We start from the raw sequence: 23,406 nt of genomic DNA, 5'->3' as shown, positions 1-23,406 counted from the left end.
TTAAACAAATGAATTCAATGTGAAATTAAGCTAAAATTAACTTACATTTATATTTATGGAGGTAAAAATTTAAGCCTATATTGCTCATAGTATCCTTTTTGTTGTGTAATTTTCCCCTCTCTTTTCCCAGTTGCAAGAATAAAATATTTGGGATTGCTGAGAGTCAAATCTGAATTCAGATCTATTAATAAATCCCTGTGGAGTAGTGGAAAGTTCCTGGACTATGAATCATAAGGCCTGCGGTATAATTTTATCTGCCACTTGCTATTCTCCCTATATTGAGCATATTAGTGACTTGTGTGCCCTGAATGTTCTGCTGAGCTTCAGCCCTCCTGGGGTGAAGTCAGCAGCACTCCCAGCAAGGGTCAGCCTTGCTTGTCAAACAGGGAAGGTCTTCATTCATCCATAACCTACCTGAAATGTATTCATCCGTCTAGCATTTATCGTTGTCTACTTTATGCCAGGAACTGTGCTCAGTGATCGGTTAGAAACAAAAGGCAGCACAGTGAGAAAGAAGGACAAATATAACAAGTATAATTTAATGTATAATGAATGTTATACCGAAGATAAATAAAAGGCACAATGTGAGCACAGAGAAAGGGAGATTGGTGCCAGGGCAGGCTTTCTGAAGGCAGTGATACCTGGCCCAGTTTTGAAGGACAGCTCAGAATTTACCCTGCCAGAGTATTGTAGGCAAAGAAGGGGCAAAGGCCCTGAACCAGAGTGCGTGCATAGAGTGCGGACTTCTTGGGCACAAGGAAGGGCAACAGATATGACTGGGGAAGCTGACCAGGGTCACAGATAATTCTCCTTAAGAGGCCAAAGGACAACTCTGTGAGACCACTGAAGATACCTGTTCTACTTCCCCATTCCTGCTTCCAGATTTCTTTTCCCTCCAAACAGGAGCATGTTTGAAGTGAGATCTCCTCATGGAATATTACCCTGCCCTTATGGGGCTATTTGAAGGAATAAATAGAAACTTTCCCTTTCTCCGGGATTATACTGGCAGCTGTTAGTTTTTTACATTAGGCAAGGTTTATTTTGTTGCACTAAGCATTGGAAATGTGCAGTTTATTTCTAGATCTAAACACAGCAATATGAGGATGAGCAAGAGACATGTTGTGGAAAATGATAGTTTGGAGAGTTAGGCTCATAATTTAATTTTCAAACTGCATGTACATTGTCTGCCTTCTATAGTATCCCGGATCTGTGTCAGTCACCAACAGAGATTTCAGCTCCTGGAAGCAGGATCTGAGCCTTATTTACTCAAGAAGAATCTATTCTTCTTGAAGAATAGATTTAAGATCTATTGAAGAATAGACTGAAGATTCTGCTTTAGTAAAGTAGAGTTTTTTCTATGTGCTAAGTGCTAGGACTAGAGAGGAAAGAATGTATTTGCTAGCTTCTAGGAGCTCTGGGTGATGAGTAAATATACCATTATTTCTCTGTGGATCTCCCTCGTTGTCCTATAACAGTCACAACCAGCATTAGAACATTTAAGCCCACAGAATCATATAATGAGTCAGTGTAGACCTGGGAATCTCACGTAGTTCTCTCTGACCTTCTCTTTCAAAGAGTATTGTGTCTACTTCTGAAATCTTTATATGCTCTGGGGCTCTAGAAATCACCCTGAGTGAGATAAAGAAATGGAATTAAATGACCCTCGAAAGTGGGTTTGATTTTTGAAAATAGCCCAAATAATTTGAAGCCAAGCTGGGTGAATAAATTCGTCCATGAACTTGGATAATGCCATTTTGGTCATGTATCTGGCTGTATATGTACTACCTGGACTAATTTGTTCGCATAGTTTTGCCATACAGCAACAACAGAAAACTTTTTTTTTTCCTGTTACCTGCTTACTTCATCTAAGTAATGCAGAGAAAAACTGTAATCCATCTACCACAGTGAAAGGCCAGCAAGGTTTATAAAGTAATGCCTATAAAAAGTTCCCATGAGTAAGGCACTGTGCAAATAGAAGAGATGATTATTGTTACTGCTGGGCTATATATAAGCACTCATTCATCACTTATGTGCTTCTTGGCAGGGCTTCCCAATTTGCCCCATGTAGCTCCATGCTAGGTCTTCCACATAATTACACAAGGAGGCAACTCCTAGAACCTTCAATTCAATTACATTTGCCTGGTTTTGTTTTTATGAAACATGAAGCCTAAATAAATAATAAACATCTTTAGAGGTGAAAGCATATAAATGAACCTGATTGAATTTTTTATCTGTTCAAAAATCAAAAGCTTTTAATGAAAGTGAGGACTTTAAGCTAAATTCATCCAAAATAAATGTCCATGAAATTTAAAACTTCATTTAAAAAATAAGTCACGGAGTTTACTTCACTCCCCGGCTACCTCCACTGGGGAAGGTGCTGGTATCCATGGCTGAGAGACCTGAAGACGGATCACAACACAGGACACTTTGCAGACATTCCTCAGTATCGGCCCAGAGCCTGGTAGCTCTGCTGAGTGGCTACATCCGTGAAGAGAAATAATAATCACTGCAGTCTGGCTCTCAGGAAGCCCCATCCCTAGGGGAAGGGGGAGAGTACTACATCAAGGAATCGCCCTGTGGGACAAAAGAATCTGAACAGCAGCCCTTGAGCCCCAGATCTTCCCTCTGACATTGTCTACCCAAATGAGAAGGAACCAGAAAAACAATTCCGGTAATATGACAAAACAAGATTTTTTAACACCCCCAAAAGATCATATTAGCTTACCAGCAATGGATCCAAACCAGGAAGAAATCTCTGAATTGCCAGAAAAATAATTCAGAAGGTTGATTATTAAGCAAATCAAGGAGCCTCCAGAGAAAGGTAAATACCAATTTAAAGAAATTTTTAAAATGTTACAGGATATGGTCAGAAAAATCTCCAGAGAAACAGATAGCATAAATAAAAAACAATCACAACTTCTGGAAATGAAGGACACACTTAGAGAAACGCAAAATACACTGGAATGTCTCAACAATAGAATCAAACAAGTAGAAGAAAGAGCTTCAGAACGTGAAGACAAGTTTTTGAATTAATCCAATCCAACAAAGACAAAGAAAAAAGAATTTAAAAAGTGAAAAAAGCCTCCAGGAAGTTTGGGATTATGTTAAACAACCAAACCTAACAATAATCTGTGTTCCCGAGGAAGAAGAGAAATTTAAAAGTTTGGAAAACATATTTGAGGGAATAACTGAGGAAAACTTTCCTGGCCTTGCTAGAGGCCTAGACACCCAAATACAGGAAGCTCAAAGAACATGTGGGAAATTCATCACAAAAAGATAATCGACTAGGCACATAGTCATCAGATTATCTAAATTCAAGATGAAGGAAAGAATCTTAAGAGCTGTGAGTCAAAAGCATCAGGTAACCTAATAAAGGAAAACCTTTCAGATTAACAGCAGATTTCTCAACATAAAACCTACAAGGTAGAAGGGAGTCCTATCTTTAGCCTCCTTAAACAAGACAATTATCAGCAAAGATTTTTGTACCCAGCAAAACTAAGCTTCATAAATGAAGGAAAGATAAAGACTTTTTCAGACAAACAAATGCTGAGGGAATTTACCAGTACCAAGCCAACACTACAAGAGCAGCTAAAGGAGCTCTAAATCGTGAAACAAATCCTCAAAATATGCCAAAATAGAACCTCATTAAAGCATAAATCTCACAGGACCTATAAAACAATAACACAATGAAAAAAAACCCCAAGGTATTCAGGCAACAAATAGCACAATGAATAGAATACTACCTCACATCGCAATACTAATGTTGAATGTAAATGGCCTAAATGCTCCAGTTAAAAGATACAGAATGGCAGAATGGATAAGATGTCACTAACCAAGTATCTGCTGTCTTTAAGAGACTCACCTAACACATAAGGACTCACATAAACCCGAGGTAAAGGGATGGAAAAAGATATTCCATGCAAATGGACACCAAAAGTAAGTAGGAGTAGCTATTCTTATATCAGACAAAACTAACTTTAAAGCAACAACAGTTAAAATAGACAAAGAGGGACATTATACAATGATAAAAGGACTAGTTGAACAGGAAAATACCACCCCAGTACCAAAACCAGGAAAGGACATAACAAAAAAGAAAACTGCAGACCAATATCCCTGATGAACATAGATGAGAAAATCCTCAATAAAATACTAGCTGACTGAATCCAATAGTATATCAAAAAGATAATTTACCATGATCAAGTGGGTTTTATACCAGGGATGCAGGGATGGTTTAACATCCCCAAGTCAATAAATGTGATATACCACATAAACAGAATTAAAAACAAAAATCACATGATCATCTCCATAGATGCAGAAAAAGCATTTGACAAAATCTAGCATCGCTTTATGATTAAAACCCTCAGCAAAATTAGCATACAAGGGACATAGTTTAAGATAATAAAAGCCATCTATGACAAACACCAGCCAACATTATACTGAATGGTGAAAAGTTGAAAGCATTCCCCCTGAGAACTGGGACAGCACAAGGATGTCCACTCTCACCACTTCTATTCAACATAGTATTGAAAGTCCCAGCCAGAGCAATCAGAAAATAGAAAGAAATAAAAAGCATCCAAATGGGTAAAGAGGAAGTCAAACTGTCACTGTTTGCCCGTGATATGATGGTATACCTAGAAAACCCTAAAAACTCATCCAAAAAGCTCCTAACACAGATAAATGAATTCAGCAAAGTTTCTGGATACAAAATTAATGTACACAAATCAGTAGCTTTGCTATATACCAACAGCGACCAAGCTGAGAATCACATCAATAACTCAACCCCTTTTACAATAGCTGCAAAACAAATAAAATACTTAGGAATATAACTAACCAAGGAGGTGAAAGACGTCTACAAGGAAAACTACAAAACACTGCTGAAAAAGATCATAGACAACACAAACAAATGGAAATACATCCCATGCTCATGGATAGGTAGAATGAATATTGTGAAAATGACCATAATGCCAAAAGCAAGTTACAAATTCAATGCAATTTCCATCAAAATACCACTATCATTCTTCACAGAACTAGAAAAAAAAAATCCTAAAATTCATATGGAATCAGCCCACATAGCCAAAGCAAGACTAAGCAAAAGGAACAATTATGGAGGCATCACATTACCTGACTTCAAACTATACCATAAGCCATAGTCACCAAAACAGCATGGTACTGGTATAAAAACAGGCACATAGACCAATGGAGCAGAATAAAAAATGCAGAAATAAAGCCAAATGCCTACAGCCAACTGATCTTTGACAAGGCAAACAAAACAAAAAGTGGGGAAAGGACACCCTACTCAACAAATGATGCTGGGATAATTGGTAAGCCACATGCAGAAGAATGAAACTGTATCGTCATCTCCCACCTTATATAAAAATCTCCTCAAGATGGAACAAAGGCTTTACTCTAAGACCTGAAACCATAAAAATTCTAGAATATAACATCAGAAAAACCCTTCTAGACATTGGCTTAGGCAAAGGCTTCATGACTAAGAACCCAAAAGCCAATGCAACAAAAACAAAGATAAATAGGTGTGACTTAAGTAAACTAAAAAGCTTCTGAAAAGCAAAAGAAATAATCAGCAGAGTAAACAGACAACCCACAGAGTGGGAGAAAATCTTCACAATCTATACATCTGACAAAGGACTGATATCCAGAATGTACAAGGAAATCAATCAAATAAGCAAGAAAAAACCAAACAATCCCATCAAAAAGTGGGCTAAGGACATGAATAGACACTTCTCAAAAGAAGATATATAAATGGTTAACAAACATATGATAAAATGCTCAGCATTACTAATGATCAGGGAAATGTGAATCAAAACCACAATGCGATACCACCTTACTCCTGCAAGAATGGCCATAATAAAAAAATCAAAAAAATAATAGATGTTGGTGTGGATGTGGTGAAAAGGGAACACTTTTACACTGTTGATGGGAATGGAAATCAGTACCACCACTATGGCAAACAGTGTGGAGATTCCTTAAAGAACTGAAAATAGATCTACCATTTGATCCAGCAGTCCCACTCCTGGGTATCTACCCAGAGGAAAAGAAGTCATTACATGAAAAAGATACTTGCATATACATGTTTATAGCAACACAATTCACAATTGCAAAAATATGGAACCAGCCCAAATGCCCATCAATCAATGAGTGGATACAGAAAATGTAGTATATATATACCATGGGATACTACTCAGCCACAAAAAGGAATGAAATAATGGCATTTGCAGCAACCTGGATGGAATTGGAGACTATTATTCTAAGTGAAATAACTCGGAATGGAAAATCAAATATCGTATGTTCTCACTCATAAGTGGGAGCTAAGATATGAGGACACAAAGGCTTAAGAATGATACAATGGACTCTGGGGACTTGGGGGAAAGGGTGGGAGGGGGGTGAGGGATAAAGGACTACACATTGGGTACAGTGCACACTACTTGGGTGATGGGTGCACCAAAATCTCAGAAATCACCACTAAGGAACTTATCATTGTAACCAAACACTACCTGTTTCCCAAAAACGTACTGAAATAAAAAAAGTGAGTCAAATATTTCAGAATGGGTAATTGAATAGTGTGTATTTTTTAAAATAACAATTTTTGGTGGTCTGAAAAAAATGGCAAAGTAAAAACTACTCAAAACCATTTGTGTAAAATTAGTTTTCCTACCAATATTTTCAAAATTTCCAAAAATGAGGGGCTGATAACAGGCAGTCACAAGCCAACATGCATTCCTGTTGGGAGTTCATTCCGCTAGCTGAGAGTTCATTCCCCTAGCTGGGAAAACCACATCCATTCCTTCACTCAGTGCTGCAAAGTATACAGTGTGTATCAAGTTCTACGAATAGAAAAAACAGATCTGTTGGAGACCATGGGCATAGAAGAAGTTATAATCAGAGGGCAGATCCAGGTTTTATGGGCCTGAAGCTTATACAATTTTAGAGTCTTCTTTAAGAAAAGTACGAACAAGGAATTAGGCATGAAAGTGATTATACATTTAAATGAGGAAAAAAATCAAATTATGAATTGGAAAGAGTTTACAGATTCCATAAACATCTCCAAATCCAGAAAAGTAATATAGTGCTCTTATGAACTAACTGTCTGACATATTCTACAATATTTTTTTATAATTTATAGCTGATACTCATTGATCTCTTCATATGGCAACAACCTCATAATATTTTCAGTAAACAGAAAAGAAGGTGGTTTAGTTTTTTTTCTCTAGAAAAAAACTTACCTTTTTATTGATGGGCTAAAGATTTATTTCAAATCCAAACCCAGTTTTGATAATGTGATGATAATCTACTATGTGACACATACACAAATGCAGTGGGTGTTTTTAGTATTACTTCGGGTTTGTGCCTTATAAACACAAGAATTCTGATAAAGTCTATTATGCACAAATATCACCAAAAAAGAAAGAAAAAGAATAAGGTTGGTATAATTATATTAGCTGCATTATCGAGTATATAGTCCTAATAGGAGAGAACTGTCTTGACTAGGCAATAAAAAGAATAGAATCTACCACTTTATATATTTATGTATATTATGATTTATATATCTGATGATTGGAAAAATTTGTCAGAAACTAGTTTCTGGCTCTGTACATTTCAAACTTATTTTCTTTTCCACTACCCACACACTTCTGATGCATGACACCATGTTCATATCATGATCCCATCTCTGACTCTGCCCCATGCCCCAGAGCAGGGCATATTGGCTTAGAGGGTGGTAGGAGTATTCCTGGAAGCCATTCTAATACCATACAGCCAGTGATAACTTACGTGCACACAGAAATGAAGGCAAATCACACAAATAGATTCCACAAATACCAAACTAAATGTATCTCTGAACAACTTCCCCTTAGTTCAGAATGCCAAAAATGCCTTTGGCTACATATCTGACTGGAGGAAAAGTGTGAAAGAGGAAAAATAGGAGTGGAAAGAGACAGAAATTATACTTGCAGTTAAAATACTATCTGCAAATTTTTCAGGAATGTAGGACTATCTGCGCACCTTACCAGTGGCCCTCCCAGGGCCTTGGACAGTAGAAGCTGTCTTATAAGTGAGGGTAGAAACTTAAGCTGCATTGGCTTTGTAATAAATACATCCTGATGGCAATACATTCTGATAAGTGGTTAATATAGGATATAGTGCCAACAATTAAAAGGTTGCTAGTTCTGAGGGATGAGAGTGGGGGTGTGGGTGGCAAAGGGAAGTTACGCAGAGCTTAAACTAGACCTTCCAGGTGCATCTTGAAAGGGCATAGGAATTTTTGAGGCCATCAAAGAGGACTTCCAGCATGTTCAACAGCCTGGCAACTAGATAGAGCATGTGCATTGAGAAAATATTGAATGTGCGGAAGTATCTGGTGAAGTCTGGGAAAGAGACCAGAGGTCCTTTCGCTCCTTGCAATGACACTGCTGGCGAGTTTTATTCTTTCCTGCTGGGAAAATTCTAACTCTCCTAAGAGAGCCTAGTCCTCTGACAACCTCCTCATTTTAACTTCCATAGCCATGTCTCACTATATCCTGGTGCAATTTGTTCTTTCTCTGCCTCCTGTCTTAGCCTGCCCCTCACTCTCCTCTGTGAAGCTCTGCAGAGTTCATAGGTCCTCCTGCCCTGACCTTGCCCATTTGCTGAAATACCTGCTCCACACCCAGAAAACTAATGCCATTATATATCCCCTTAAAACAGTGCTGCTTCCTTTGAATGCTTCCATCTCATCCCTGCTCTTGGAGAAGTAACCTCATTTTCCAGGACTTGGCCCCACTCCAGCCTCTACATAGCAGTCTTGTGAACAGGCGCTGAGCCCATGGGCTTGACTAGTGAAAATGGGTCATGGCACAGTGTCTGCTGTGTTCCTGTTCATCTGGTGCCATAGAGTGCTCCTGTCCTTTTTGTAACAGCAGGAGAAGTGGGGTTGGCTAAGAAAAGACAAAGCTCTTGAGAGAAGAGGGCAGAAGGAAAGAAGGGCAAACATTTTCTTTCCTACCCACTGGTGGCAGCTAGAATAGAGGAGAAGACACAGATGCATTGGAGCCACTAAATGGAGGCATAATGAGTGTGACTGTGGGGCTGCCTTGGACACCAAGGTTATCGTTGACTGCAGCCTGGAGTGGACCTCATCCCAGAACACAGAAGGACTTTGAGCACCCTCCTAACATTTCCGATTAGTTCTGCCTCATTTTTGTCCTCTTCAGTTCCCATCTTGGGCCTTGTTTGTACTCCCAAAGGCCATGGTGTCCTATTCTACACACTAACTCCACTGAGCAACTTTCACTTTTGCCTAATGGCTAATTTGCATAATAAATCTCCAAAAGCTTCTTGATCCAATAGAGGTTTTTGATTTCTTAAATTTCCGGAGTGATAATTTATGAAACTCTTAATTCACCAAAGCCTTTCCCAGTCAACTACCTATAGACGTTACAGCAATTCATGTTTTTCCAAGTCTGCTTAATGTTCTGTATATTTTGAGAAACGATGATTTCTGCAAATTTTGAATTTTGAGGTACTGTGCACATTATCAATGTCAAAGATTTTCAAATGGGGATTAACTCAATGGAGGCTGGGAAAGCACTGAATAACTTTAACAACCTCTTGGAAAACTTTAACTAGAAGGAAACTTTTAATCTGAAAACAGCTGATAAATCCTGAAATATTAAAAGCATTCCCTTTAAAATCAGGAACAATACAAGGATATCTAGAATTATTGCATCTACTCAACATTATACTAGTGTTCCTTGCTTGTGTAATAAAGCAAAAGAAGATTTAAAGGAGTGGCCGGGCGCGGTGGCTCATGCCTGTAATCTCAGCACTTTGGGAGGCCGAGAAGGGTGGATCACGAGGTCAGGAGATCGAGACCATCCTGGCTAACATGGTGAAACCCTGTCTCTATTAAAAATACAAAAAAATTAGCCAGGTGTGGTGGCAGGCGCCTGTAGTCCCAGCCACTCGGGAGGCTGAGGCAGGAGAATGGTGTGAACCCAGGAAGGCAGAGCTTGCAGTGAGCCGAGATCGCGCCACTGCACTCCAGCCTGGGTGACTGAGCGAGACTCCATCTCGAAAAAAAAAAACAAAAAGATTTCAAGGAGTAAATTTTGGAAAGGTAAAAATAAAATTTTTATTATTTCAATATTATTGTCTACAAAGAAAATCTCTTAGTGTCTACAGGTTTATTATTAAAAGTTTAGCAAGGATGTTGAACATAAGATCAATTTAGAAATCTAATTATATTTCTGTACATTGACAAAAGAAAATACAATGTAAAATATATTTACAATAACAACAAAGGTGTAAAATATCTAGGAATAAATCTAACATGATGTGTAAGATCTTTATGCAGAATATTCTAAAACTTTATTGAAGGACATTAAAGAAAACCTAAATAAATGGAAAGCTATACCATGTTTATGAATTGGTATATTTAACATCGTAAAGATGTTGAATTTTCTCAAGTTGAACAATAGGCTTAATGTAATTTCATTTTTAAAAAGTTTTACTTGATAAGCTAATTCTAAAATTTAAGTGGAAGAACAAAGGGTCAACGTAATGAAACACTTCTGAACTGGGTAAGGAGTCTTGTCTTAGCAGATTTTTTATTATAAAGTGATGGTAATTAAGACAGTGATATATGACAGAGCTGGCATTACAGATTAGTGACGAAAGGACAGTCTATTCAATAAATAATGTGGGACAATTTATTATCTCTACAAATAATTTAGAATGATGCCCTAATTCACATCAGAAAAGGAAATACGTTCTAAACACAGAAAGAATCCTAGTTTGAAAGGAAAACACACTTCTAGCAGAAAATACATATGTTCTTAAGACTTCAGGGTATGGAAGGATTTCTTAAGTCATAAACAAATCATAAAGAAAATAATTAATAAACTAACAAATTAAAATAAGAACTCAGACATAGTAGAGAGTGTAAACAGACAAGTCATATGTTGGAATAAAATACTTGCAACACATAACAAAAGATCAGCGTCTGGAGTATTTTAAAAAACTATCTCAAAAGAAGAAAACGATAGTGACCTCTTTCCTCCAAAAGGGATATAAATTCATAAGTAGGCATTTTATAGAAGAGAAAACAAAAAAAGACCACTAAACATGTTGAAAAGATGTTTCTCCTCTTAGTTTAACATATATTAAACCCACATTGAGTTACCATTTCACACCTTGCAGATTGAAAAAGGTAAAAAAATCAGACAATTCCAGTGTTGCTGAGACAGCAGAATAACTGCTGGTGGTAGCGCAAATGACACAGAACTTTGGAACACAGAATGACATTGGCAAAAAAAGTTAATCATGTTCATAATCTATGATGAACATTTCCTCTAGGTATGTGCCTTAGAGACACCCTTCCACAATGTACCAGGGGAAACAGGCAAGATGCAGCATTGCTTGAATGCTCAGACAACTGGAAATCAACCACAAGTAGGCCAGAGTGCTCTTTTAAAGTGAATGTCACGTTATGACACTCTTCTATTCTAAACCCTCAGTGGCTTCCTGCCACAATTAGAATAGAACTCTAACCCCCCTTATCATCTGTTTATCTCTCTGATTTCATGGGTGCCACTCTTCGCAGTTTCCTCTAGACTTCTTCCCTATCTTCCCTATGCAGGGCAACCACGCTCCTTCTCAGTCTTATGATGACTGGTTCTAAGTCAGCCTAAATATCACTTCCTTGGAGAGTCCTTTACTTACCACCCCATCCAAAGTAGTTTTCTCTATCTTACTGTCTGCCTCAGCTTTGTTTCCTATAAAACATATTAATTTTTGAATTATGTATTTATGTATGCACATATGCATTCATTCATTTTTTTGGCCTGTCTTAAACATTAAACTAAATCTCCATGAGAGCAGGGACTAAGTCTATCTCACTCATGATTGTAACCTCTGTGCCTTGTACATAGCCTGGCATATAATAATTACTCAATAAACTTTTGTTGAATTGAGTGATTGAATACAAACACTGTGTAAATTGTATCTGTGCCTATTTGAAGTGGCTTGTTGATCTGCAAGTACATTTTATTAGCTCTAGTTCACTGAAAGGATAATGTGATACTAAAACAGCCACATAAATTCTCAATACTTATTTAGAAGGTAAAGGAAAGTGTTTACCTGGTCTTATTTTTTTATCTCAAAGATTTAACCAATGTGTGCCTGAATGCTTCCACAAATTATTTTCAGTGATTTTCTACACAATACATTAAATAGATCTTTCAACTAGACTAAAAGTCCTTCAATGCCTGACCTACTTAGAGATATGTTAAATTTTTTTAGGTCGGTTCTAATACACATTTAAAAAAACCACTTACAGATGCTAACATAGAAATTTGATATTGAATACTCAAATATGCGGGTGACATAGGCTGGAGCTTTTTTTGCAAGAGGCTTGAATTTAAGTTGATGTGGGTTTTATTTTACTTTTATTCTATTTATCTATAATTATGAAAACATTTATTTTGTTTCAATTATACTTTATGTATTTTGTATTTGTTTTAATATTTATTTGTTTGTTGATACATTTTGATTTAATTTAATTTTTTTCCTGGTTAGAGCTTGAGCTCCAAAGAAGAATTTGCATGACAGTCTACTTAAGAGATGGATTCCACAGACAAAGCAATTCAAGAGGCACTTGAAGCTCAGCAAAATATGGAAATAATGGATGAGTTTTACATTTTATTTTATTTTTATTTTTTCTCTTTGTTTGCCTAAGTTTTACATTTTAAATCACAGAATTATACCCTTGCTCAACTACTAATACAAGTAAGATAGATTCATTTTAATAATGGATAGAAAAATTAAGTAACTTGAAAATAGATATATTACAAAACAATTTGCACACATTCACTTTTTTGGTCTCTAAAACTTCTTTTTAAAAGTGTTTAATTTATTTTCATAACCTGGCATTCTGATATGTGAATGCAATTAAATAAAATAGAACTTCTTTGTTTTCTATTAAATTTTTGAAAGCTATAATTTAAAGTACTTTTTGTGTAAATGATTTAAAACCATTTAAAAAAGAAAACAACGATCATATTTAACTCTTGAATTTCTGGATATGGTGCTGTCAAAAAGTAAAGTTTGGGTGTGGGGGTTATTCTGAGAAGTTTACATGAATGCTACGTTAAAGTTTACATGAAAGTTGGATGAAAAACTTTCTTTTGAATATGTGATTTCCACTTATACTAAATTTCTACATTCTATAAATTGCTAGATAAATATAATGAGACAAAATGAATAAAGAATTTGAAAAATAAATTTTCATGAAAAATATGTAGTTATTAGAGTGGTGTTGATGTGGATATTAATGTGCTGATTTGGATACTGATGAGTTTATAGCTAAAATGAATATGTTCTGAAATTGGCCAAAACTGCTATAAATCACTATGCAGTAAGTACTTGAACCAGAGAACAGTTGCTACTATTTTAAATTTAAATTGGAAAGGCAAAAAGAAGGCAATTATCTTAATATTTTAATAATTATTATTTTAATAATAGTTCATGTAATTTTGATACCAAAGTCGATTTGGGGTTCAACGATTTGTTTTCACTTCTTATGAACCTGAGAGTGAGTCAAGAATTGAGGAATTGCATAGTGACCAGTTATCCAGTACTAAGAAAGTACTAAAGAAGGCACTAAAAATTATTTTTCCTTCATAGTAATAATAGTTCTATTTGCTCAGAAGAGCCCATCCCTTATTACATACCCCCTTCGAATCCACTGGTCAGGATGCCTAGGCTGCACCTTCTCTTCCCATGGCTGATCCCTACCTCCAGGAATGAAAAAGGAGCTCTCCAAGGGTCACCAGTTGGGTAGCTGAGGCCACCAGGGGGACAGACGTGGATGGCCAGGCCCAGGCTGTACCCACCTGAGGAACACCGAGCTGGGGCTGTCTGTGGAGCTGCGTGAGGCCTCCACGTTGGCCTTCCTTGGGCTGCCCGGAGTCTCAAACCGGAACACCGTGTCACTAGAAGGCAGCCTTTTCTTCACCATTGTGCGCTTATTGACCCGCAAGTCAAGGAACAACCTTAAAAGCTCATTTCTGAGTCTCCCAAATAATATGAAAATCTCTGCGTTTCAGCTTTGTACAGTCCTTGAATTGCAGGAAGCTCTTTCTTCATGTGACTCAATCTAGCTGAGGCTATGTTTTTAAAAGTCAGTTAATGATTAACATATCAGTGTGACACAGGGCGGTTTTCATCCTACCTATGTTTGCTGTAAAGAAATAAATGTGTTTGGGAAATTCAACTTTTAGTTCACTAAGATGAACACCACTGAATCTGAATTTAGTCAGAAAAGCATGGAAAAGTAAACACCTAAACAAAACAAAACAATGAGGTGCAGAGACTGGCAGCATCTAAACATTAAAAGCAGGATGCTTTTTCTAACCACCTGAGCCTGACCAACAGGGTGAGCAATGTGGATGTGCTTTATGCCTGTACTCACGCAGGAAATGACCAGCACACTGTGTGTGTTGCAGCCAATGTTTGGCAGATGTACAGCAGTTTTAAGGCTGCATTCCTTGGTCCTTGGGACCTGAAGAGTTCTGGAGTTCTTATGGAAGTGATATACACAAAGTCAAGGGAGTCTCAATATTCAGGTTGCATATTTTGCTGGGTTATAGGAGGCTGTGACTTGTACCCAAACAGTAACAACAAATACAAACAAACAAACAGTAGGAAGCGAGAGTTCGAATGTGTCTCTTGCTTGCTGGCTGGGCAACTGCAGGTGATCCCAGTTCTGCTCTGTTTGATATCTGTTATGCTGATTTCACAGGATTAGAATGAAATACGTAGGAGAATATGCAGTAGAGATTTGCAATTATGTGTCATTATTGTTACCTAGATATGCATTTTACTAACAAATAAGTTCAGAAAATGAGTTTCTTCATGCGACAAATGTTCATGCACAAGGAAAACATCAGTGTCCCTCCACCCTCGTTACTAGCACCAGTGAAAGATTTGTTCCACAGTAGCTATGCTCTCTCTCCTTGTTCCCCTTGTGATTAGTCAGTGACATTGCAGAATGGCTGGCTTAAGAGAAGTACACAGTTTCTGATTGTGGAAGAGAGCAAAGTTTCCTGGGAAATCAAAGCAAACCTTTAGCCTTGGCCTCATTAGCATTTTGCTCTAACCAACTGCTAACCTGGCAGGGACAGGTCTGTGCTGCTCTACATGCTGTATTGACCCTAAGAACACTTTTGAAGTGAGTCTTTCAGTGATATTACATTATTTTGGACAATATTTTCCTGCTGAGTTTTCTTGGTTTTAGCACTGAATGCCCTAAATTCCAGGAAATCTTTAGTGCTGGGCAAACTGGGGCAGGTGGTCACCTTAGTACTGCTGAGCGCCCTCATGCTACAGTTCTGAAGGTGCACCGCCCCCAGCTTTCCTCCCTGTCCTTCCTTGACAGAGCACGGTCTATATTTCTCTTTCCTCTCTTATCTCTGTGCTGAAATTGAGTTGAAATGTTGGAGACATTAAATAAGCTGTTATATTAAATTGCTGAATTAAACCAGTCACCATGCCTCATACAATAGCAACAACCTGCATGGGAGTTTCTGCTCCTTGTAAACAAAAGACAACTCTTACTGGCACAGATGTTAATGGTCAGTGAAATGTAGTCTGTTACTCTCTGTCTCATGCAGGTTTGGATTAAACAGGGGCAATTCCTAACTTAGAACAAAATGTCTCTAAAGGAGGAAATTCCAGTGTCAGTGAACAGTCTTTGAACTTATTTTTCAATAGATAAGCTTTCCTCGTACTCACTCAATCAACTGATATATATTTATTAGCAAAGCTCTTTGCTAGCTGCAGCGAGTGATATAAAAAGTTTTAAAAAATGGGTCCTTGCTTCAACAATGAAGCTAGGAAAAAACAGTCTACATAACTGAAAAGTTAACTAAAAATAAAAGCGATAGAAAGGCAGTGAATTAGGCTAATATTTATTGACTCTCTGTACTAGCTAATATCTTTTGAGTCAATATAGCATCTCTACTAGATAATTTCGTATATAACATCTCATTTAATCGTTGCCCAAATTACATTTTTATAGATTAAAAAAACTATATCTTTAAAAGGTTAAACCACTTGGCCATAATTAAATAGTAAGCATGTGGTCATGCTGGAATTCATTCATTCATTCATTCATTCATTCATTCATTCAACAAGTATTTATTGAGCATTTACAGTTAAAAGGAGGCAAATCAATTGAGACTGGTATGACTTATAAAAGTCTAATGGAAAATGTGGGGTTTGAGTTTCAATGTGGGGTCATGGGGAAGGCAGAAAGGGAAAGGAGTAGTGCTCATGAACAAATAAATGGGCATGGACCAGGTATGTGTGTGAGAGTGGAGAGTGGAGAGTTTGTTGGTGAAGTAGAGGAATAGTGAACATTTATCTGGAGGCTGAATTATGAAGGAACCTTGATGCCAGTGTGGTTAGTTCAAGCTTTATCCTGTAGGTAATGGAAATAAAATGATGAAAGATGAGCTCGATGGCCATATGCACGATGCTTTGGAAGCAGAATGAGATGAGTTGGTCCCATTACTCCAGTCAGCCGGGTGTTACGGTTATTTCAGTTACGCAGCAATTTACTAGCCTATGGGAAGCATACTGACGTAGTTAAACAGTATTGGCTGAACTCTTATGTAAGATGTTGAGTTAATCCTTATTATAAGAAATTGTGTCAAAGGTGAGATTTTCTGAAAGTCTAGAGCAGGGGTCACAAACTCAAAGGCCTTTAGGAACCGGAAAGGTAAGTAAAACCCTGGGGGAGGGACAGAAGCCAGCAGAGAGTGGTAAACAAAGGAATGCTTTTGCCTCCCTCAGGGCATTCAAGTTTTAACACAACAGATTCTGGTGGGAGGAGGCATCCTAAACCTGTCTGAGGGCTGGAGCCAGCTGGGGCTTGCCCGGTGAATTTCACTTCTTGATATGAGCTGCCTGTGATAAAGCTGACAAAATGTGCAAGTAGTTATAGCTGGACTTTATGTTTAAATAGGAATAAGGTTTTGATAGTACATGATCATTGAAAGAAAATGTGAATTCTGACAGCTTTATTTTCAAGATTAATGGCAGTTGACTGCTGTGCAGCCATCCACAGCCACTGCCTGAGCCCTTTGACTGTTTAGACATGGCCTCTGCCCAAGCCCTCCTAGCCTGTGCCACAGCTTTCATTTGTGTGTGTGCAAATTAAAACAAAGACCAGGTGGTCAAAGATAAACAACTGGAATAGGACGTTTATGTAAATATAACTATAAAAGGAACATGCACAGTGGCCAAAATGAATAATATATAATAAATAAAATACAACTAAAATAAAAATCACAGAGACTCTTTTATATCCTTCCATGGGAATTGAGAAATAATGTTGAAAGTCTTCTCGGCCGGGCGCGGTGGCTCACGCCTGTAATCCCAGCACTTTGGGAGGCCGACGCGGGCAGATCACGAGGTCAGGAGATCGAAACCATCTTGGCTAACACGGTGAAACCCCGTCTCTACTAAAAATACAAACAATTAGCCGGGCGTGGTGGCGGGAGCCTGTAGTCCCAGCTACTCAGGAGGCTGAGGCAGGAGAATGGCGTGAACCGGGAAGGTGGAGCTCGCAGTGAGCCGAGATGGCGCCACTGCAGTCCAGCCTGGGCGACAGAGTGAGAATCCAAATCAAAAAAAGAAAAGAAAAGAAAAGAAAATCTTCTGAAGCTCTAGTTTTCTTTGCTTAAGCCCTACAAATTAAAGTTTGGCCATAAGAGTTTTTTCTTTCTTCAATGAAACAAGGTCCATAATTCAAAGAATGTAGTCTTGTGCAATGATGATAATAATCTTTGGTTATTATATCCGAGCATTCTGGATTCCATAAATAAGAAACTAATATGCCTACTGATGCTAGGCTCGATGGATGGGAGGTGCGGAATTCATGCCTGTATATTCCCCTTTTCCTCCTCTCCCTCCTTTTCCTCTACTTCCTCCTCCTCCTCCTCCTCCTCCTCCTCCTCCTCCTCCAGTTTTTACAGGTGTAGGATTTGGATATTGAGACATAAGATCAAACCAGAACCACCAGATTAACAGAGCTTCAAAATGGAGTTTTCCAGAGCCATGGAATATAAATTTACACTTAGAAATAAACGAGATTTTCTCTACAAATAAGCGAAGTTAGAAATATTTGTGCCTTAAGATTTATTTGATAAATTATGCTGTGTTTAGGCTATTATTAATACAATTAGCTTGTATACTCTAAGCACATAGTACTGTGATTTGGATAAAAAAAGCCTTGGTCTGGGCCGGGTGTGGTGCCTCACGCCTGTAATCCCAGCACTTTGTGAGGCCGAAGTGGGTGGATCACCTGAGATAAAGAGTTCGAGACCAGCCTGGCCAACATGGTGAAACCACCGTCTCTACTAAAAATACAAAAATTAGCCAGGTGTGGTGGTGCGTGGCCTGTAATCCCAGCTACTCTGGAGGCTGAGGCACAAGAATCGCTTGGATCCGGAAGGCGGAGGTTTTTGTGAGCCGAGATCGCGCCACTGCACTCCAGCTTGGGTAACAGAGCGAGACTCCATCTCAAAAAGAAAAAAAAAAAAAAAAAAAAGCCTTGGTCTGGTAAAATCACCTTGAATTTCAGTTGTCACCATATTTCCATACATGGAATAACCATGTATGGAAAACCGGTGTGTGGGTGTAAATTAAATATATCCACATTCCTGTGGTTGGCTGTTTGATTTCATGGTTTAGAGTGTTAGTTTAGGGGTCAGGTTGCCTGGAAAAGGGTGGCTTGATTATTTCATTGCTTTGTTACTTTAGAAAGGGATTTAACTACTCTGAGCTTTTGTAAAAATGGGAATAACAATAATATCTATCTCAAAAAATTGTTTGGAGGACTTGATATAATATGTGTAAACTTCAAGTATGAAGCCTGTACATAGTAAGCATTCAGAAAATACTACTGATGGTAATGACAATGAAGATTAGGATCTTTGAGTTGGTCATACTTTCACTCATGTTGAGTGGAGTCATATGATATAAGTGAAAGATATGATTTGCTTTACTCAATGGGACAACAGCTGTGTGTTTGCACGTGGTTTGTGGAAGACCTAATCCTAGAGGGAGGGCAAGCATTGACAGTCTAGGCCCATGGAGTGTTGACACTGGTGATAATGACCTTGCCAAGCAGCTTGGAATATTCCAGTCTAATTCATGGGCTAAAGCATATCTTAAGTCCCTTCCTCTCTCCTTCAAACTTCTTTATTCTACGGTTTTTATGATAAAGAGGGGAGGGGGTTGATTTCTCTCCCAAAGTTGTGAACCCTTTGAGAGGATGCAGAGAAAGGATATATGTTATCCCCTTGTCAGAGAACTATTACTATCTGCCACAGCTCATGACTTTAGAGGGAGTTTGCCCCCAGAAGATTAGAAAGTTGATCTTGCAGCTTCAGTAAACATGTAAGTAGACATGGCAAGATTGGACTTTAGATAATCTTTCTTTTTTTGTGTGCATTTGGGGCTTTAAGATATAAAGGTAAGAAATTTGAAAACCCAAGTTCCTATTCTAGTTTATCCACCAGCTTGGGTAAGTCTTTTTAGTGCTTTTAACTATATTTGCTTAAATTTATAAAATGATTTGAGATAGTTGATTTTAAAAATTTTGTTTGCAGAACTTTCTGTTGATTGATATGTTTATTATTTAAACAGTGATGCATTGGTAAACCGGTTTTCCAGGAAAAAAAAAAAAAAGCTCTGATTTGTAGCACTGGCCAATTTCCACAGCGTAAATACTCCTACCACAGCTGATTTCAAGCTGCTGACATGATACACTGAACGTGACTTTGGGAATTGAGCCTGTAATGAACTGACAGTTGAGCAAGCATGAGCTGACTCCCTTACACCGCTGTAAACATTTAAACATTCACATTTGGGTGTTTGATAAAACATACACATTTGACCTCAGAGTTACCAGATTTTAAAAAGCAGCATTCTTGATTTCAATAGCATTATTATCTGTCAAATTGCATAGTGGTTATTGCATATTCTGCCTTTGTTTGATTTTATGCAAATTGATAATTATTTTCAGAGAAATACTTCTGAAGATAGTATGATTATTAGCGTCCCCCATAAGGTTATTTTTTGTATTAATTTTACTGGCCTAAGGGATACATAACATAAATTTACTATTTTAGTCAGTTTAAAGTATATAGTTCAGTGGCATGAACTACATTCACAACTTTGTGCCACTAAGGTTTTTAAAATATACTGCTTTTTTAGTTTACAAAACAAAATGTATACTCATTACAAACATTTTGAAAATAAAATATAAAGAAGAAAAATATCATCTGTAATCCTCAGCCACCAGAGATAATCACAATGAACATTTTATCATCATCAAAATTATGTTTTACTCTAAAGGATTATCAAAATCATTTGGTAATTCTGAAAGTATATCCAATATTCACTAAATACAGTCATTATTTTCAAGAGGCCTTACCCTTCAAAGTGAGAAACCGACACATCTTCTCTGTTCCCTCCCACACCTGGAGCACCAGGGGCCAGAGTAGTGGAAACAGAATCAAAGACATGTTTGGAGAATTCTATGAAACATCTCAGAAAGATTTGTTTGGGAATGAACATACCACTGGCCAAGATGTTTTTGAGATTAGTCTAGAAACTAGATGATAGAGGATATAGAGGGAGAGGTTTTAGAGCCAATAGGAACCTTAGAATGCATGTACTTAAAATACTTCCTGTTATAGATCTATCACTAGTGGGGATAGGTCACTTGAATAGTTGGTGGCAGAGCTAGGGCTGCCTCCTGATTCATGTTCCACTCCTGACCTGGTAATCTAGATCCTCTTCACATCATGCTGCTTTGTAGAATTCCTCCCTGTTGTGACTCTTGAGAGAATGAAAACGTACCAGCAACAGACCATCTGTGTTAAATGTTGTCTTTGTACGGGACAAGAGCGGGAAGCGATCCTACAACCTACACTTTCATTTTCCACTGCTATTGTGTGAAGTAATTAGATAGATATTTACTCTGAGGCATTAGCTGTGTTAGGTTCCATCATTAATTATAATATTTCAAAATTTCCACAATTTTCTGAATTTCAGGAATTTCCTCCCCATAGTTTGCAATTAGATCCAGACTCAGTACATACTTTGTTTAAAAAATGCAGACTCTTTCTGTTTGTATTCTTACTGTGCTACTTAATAGCTGGGGAATTTGAAAATCTCTATATTTTAGTTTCCTAATCTGTAAAATGGGAATAATAGTACCTACCAAATAGGTTTGTTAAGAAAGTACAATAGCTAGTATTTGTAAAGACTTTAAATATTGCCTTGAACATAATAAGGATTTAGCAAATTTTATATTTATTTTGATCAATACTTATAATAAAATCATAAGGTCTTATTTAAAGTAACTATCACTTTAGAGTTTTTTTAAAGCCTTATTAAGATATAATTTACATAATACAAAGTTCACTTGTTCGAAGTGTACAATTCAGTGGCTTTAGTACATTTACAGAATTGTGCAACCATCACCACCATCTAATTTTAGAACATTTTCATGACTCAAAAGAAACCTTGTACCCAAGAGCAGTCCCTGCCCATCCTCCCTATTTTCCTCTTCCATTCTGCCCTAAGCAACCACTAACCTACTAATTTACTTTCTCTCTTTAGAGATGAGACATTCATATCTCATCTGTATATATAGAAAAAGTACCTATTCTGGACATTTCATATATAGATGGGATCATACTATCTGTGATCTTTTGTGACTGTCTTCTTTCACCTACAATGTTTTCAAAGTTCATCTCATTTTGTGACCAAAAATATTCTATTGTATGGATATACCACATTGTATTTATCCATTATTTAGTTGATGGAGACTTGGATTGTTTCTACTTTTTGGCTATTAAAAATAATGCTATTATGGATATTTGTGTACAAGTTTTTATGCAAACACATGTTTTCAATTCCCTTGATTATATACCTAGGAATGAAATTGCTATATTTAACTTTTTGAGGAACTGACAAACTTTTTTTCCAAAATGGTCGTAACATTTTACATTTCTGACCAGCAGTGGATGAGAGTTCCAGTTTCTCCACATGCTTGCCAACACTTCTTTTTTTTTTGTTTTTGATATAGCCATTCGAGTGGGTATGAAGTGGCGTTGCATTGTGGTCTTGATTTGCATTTTCCTAATGACTAATGATGCTGAGCATCTTTGCATGTCCTTATTGGCCATTTGTGTATTCTCTTTGGAGAAAAATCCATTCAAATCCTTTGCCCCGTTTTAAAATTGGGTTATTTGTCTTTTTATTATTGACTCGTATGCTTTATATATTGTGGCTACAAGTTCCTTAAAATATATGATTTGTAAATATTTTCTATCATTTCATAGGATGTCTCTGCACTTTCTTCATGGTGTCCTTTGAAGCACCAAAGAAAGTTTTCCATTTTGGTAGAGTCCAGGTTATCAATTTTCTCTTTTATCACTTGCGATTTTGGTGTTGGGCCTAAGAAATAATTGCCCAACCCAATGATTATTTACTCGTATGTTTATTAAGATTTTTATAGTTTTAGCTCTTATATAAGGTCTGTGATCTACTTTGAGTTAATATTTGTGTATGTTGTAAGGTAGGGGTCCAATTTCATTCTTTAGAATATTGTCCTGGCACTATTGTTGAAAAGGCTATTCTTTTCCCATTGGATTATCTTGCCCATTTTGTTGAAAATTAATTAACCATAAATGTTAGTGTTTATTTCTTGGTAACTATTTTAAACAATATACATAGAAATGTATTCAGAATTAATGACTTTGAGTATCTCTGTTCCTTTTGAAGATCTTGTGTTTTTATTCTTTTTTATGTATGTCTACATAAGTCCAAGGCCAGGACTTTTGGTACTTTTCCTTAATTCTTCCTGATAATCCTGAAATCATAATTTTCTAGGTAGTTGTTTACTTCACCTGTTTGTAATAATGGCAATAACAAAGAACACTAATAATGATGATTGTCAACAAAATCTTAAGTTATTTAGAAAGCATGAAATTAAAGACAGGTAAAGTGAAAGGCTCATATACTATTATATAATAGTTTGTATCTATGTTGCTGTTGATTATACATATTTCTTCAATTTAGCATTCATCCTGCAATTTTTTAAAACAGTGAAGTGTAGCAAGGCCAGGCCAAATTCAGAAGAGGTGACTGAAATGATGCTGCCCGATCAAAAAATCGTTTGGTCTTCAGAATTGAGCTCATAGGATCTTTTAACACGTGAGTCAGGTCATAAACATGCAATTTATAGCTGAAGAAATGCATGTGGCTAATAACAAATGAAAAAATATTCTCCACTAGTAATAAAAAACAAAGGAGGAGACCCAACTGGGTAAC

General features: G+C 37.1%; 1 protein-coding gene and 1 long non-coding RNA gene across 7 annotated transcripts in view, besides 4 other annotated features; one reads left to right on the top strand and one right to left on the bottom strand.

The window, feature by feature from the left end:
- The window catches only part of GRAMD2B (GRAM domain containing 2B), a 134,245-nt gene that overhangs the window by 108,911 nt on the left and 1,928 nt on the right, over positions 1 to 23,406 (bottom strand). For 2 of the 6 annotated variants that reach the window (XM_005272057.5, XM_005272058.5), the window contains exon 1: positions 13,887 to 14,141. The exons of the other annotated variants lie outside the window; for them this stretch is intronic. In XM_005272057.5, coding sequence (XP_005272114.1) covers positions 13,887 to 14,011 — 125 coding nt within the window. In that variant the 5' untranslated portion in view covers positions 14,012 to 14,141. Of the gene's footprint in view, positions 1 to 13,886; positions 14,142 to 23,406 lie in introns of those variants that run through there. 6 annotated transcript variants of the gene reach the window in all.
- Positions 13,399 to 13,922: an enhancer, noted in NCBI's record as "H3K4me1 hESC enhancer chr5:125707224-125707747 (GRCh37/hg19 assembly coordinates)". NCBI's record gives its function as "activates a minimal SCP1, AML or CMV promoter by ChIP-STARR-seq in naive H9 embryonic stem cells {active_cell/tissue: H9 hESC(naive)}" and the evidence as "EXISTENCE:reporter gene assay evidence [ECO:0000049][PMID:30033119]".
- Positions 13,923 to 14,447: an enhancer, noted in NCBI's record as "H3K4me1 hESC enhancer chr5:125706699-125707223 (GRCh37/hg19 assembly coordinates)". NCBI's record gives its function as "activates a minimal SCP1, AML or CMV promoter by ChIP-STARR-seq in naive H9 embryonic stem cells {active_cell/tissue: H9 hESC(naive)}" and the evidence as "EXISTENCE:reporter gene assay evidence [ECO:0000049][PMID:30033119]".
- LOC124901056 (uncharacterized) overlaps positions 15,156 to 23,406 on the top strand; it is an 891,204-nt gene continuing 882,953 nt past the window's right edge. Inside the window, exon 1 of the long non-coding RNA XR_007058919.1 lies at positions 15,156 to 16,774. This is a non-coding gene — a long non-coding RNA (uncharacterized LOC124901056). The remainder of the gene's footprint in view (positions 16,775 to 23,406) is intronic.
- Positions 16,563 to 17,303: an enhancer, noted in NCBI's record as "NANOG-H3K27ac-H3K4me1 hESC enhancer chr5:125703843-125704583 (GRCh37/hg19 assembly coordinates)". NCBI's record gives its function as "activates a minimal SCP1, AML or CMV promoter by ChIP-STARR-seq in primed H9 embryonic stem cells {active_cell/tissue: H9 hESC(primed)}" and the evidence as "EXISTENCE:reporter gene assay evidence [ECO:0000049][PMID:30033119]".
- Positions 17,304 to 18,045: an enhancer, noted in NCBI's record as "H3K27ac-H3K4me1 hESC enhancer chr5:125703101-125703842 (GRCh37/hg19 assembly coordinates)". NCBI's record gives its function as "activates a minimal SCP1, AML or CMV promoter by ChIP-STARR-seq in naive H9 embryonic stem cells {active_cell/tissue: H9 hESC(naive)}" and the evidence as "EXISTENCE:reporter gene assay evidence [ECO:0000049][PMID:30033119]".

The sequence above is a fragment of the Homo sapiens genome, chromosome 5, assembly GCF_000001405.40.
Source record: "Homo sapiens chromosome 5, GRCh38.p14 Primary Assembly".
In the NCBI taxonomy this organism is placed as follows: domain Eukaryota; kingdom Metazoa; phylum Chordata; class Mammalia; order Primates; family Hominidae; genus Homo; species Homo sapiens.
Note: the sequence above shows the minus strand (reverse complement) of the source record. Positions and strands in the feature narration are given on the sequence as shown.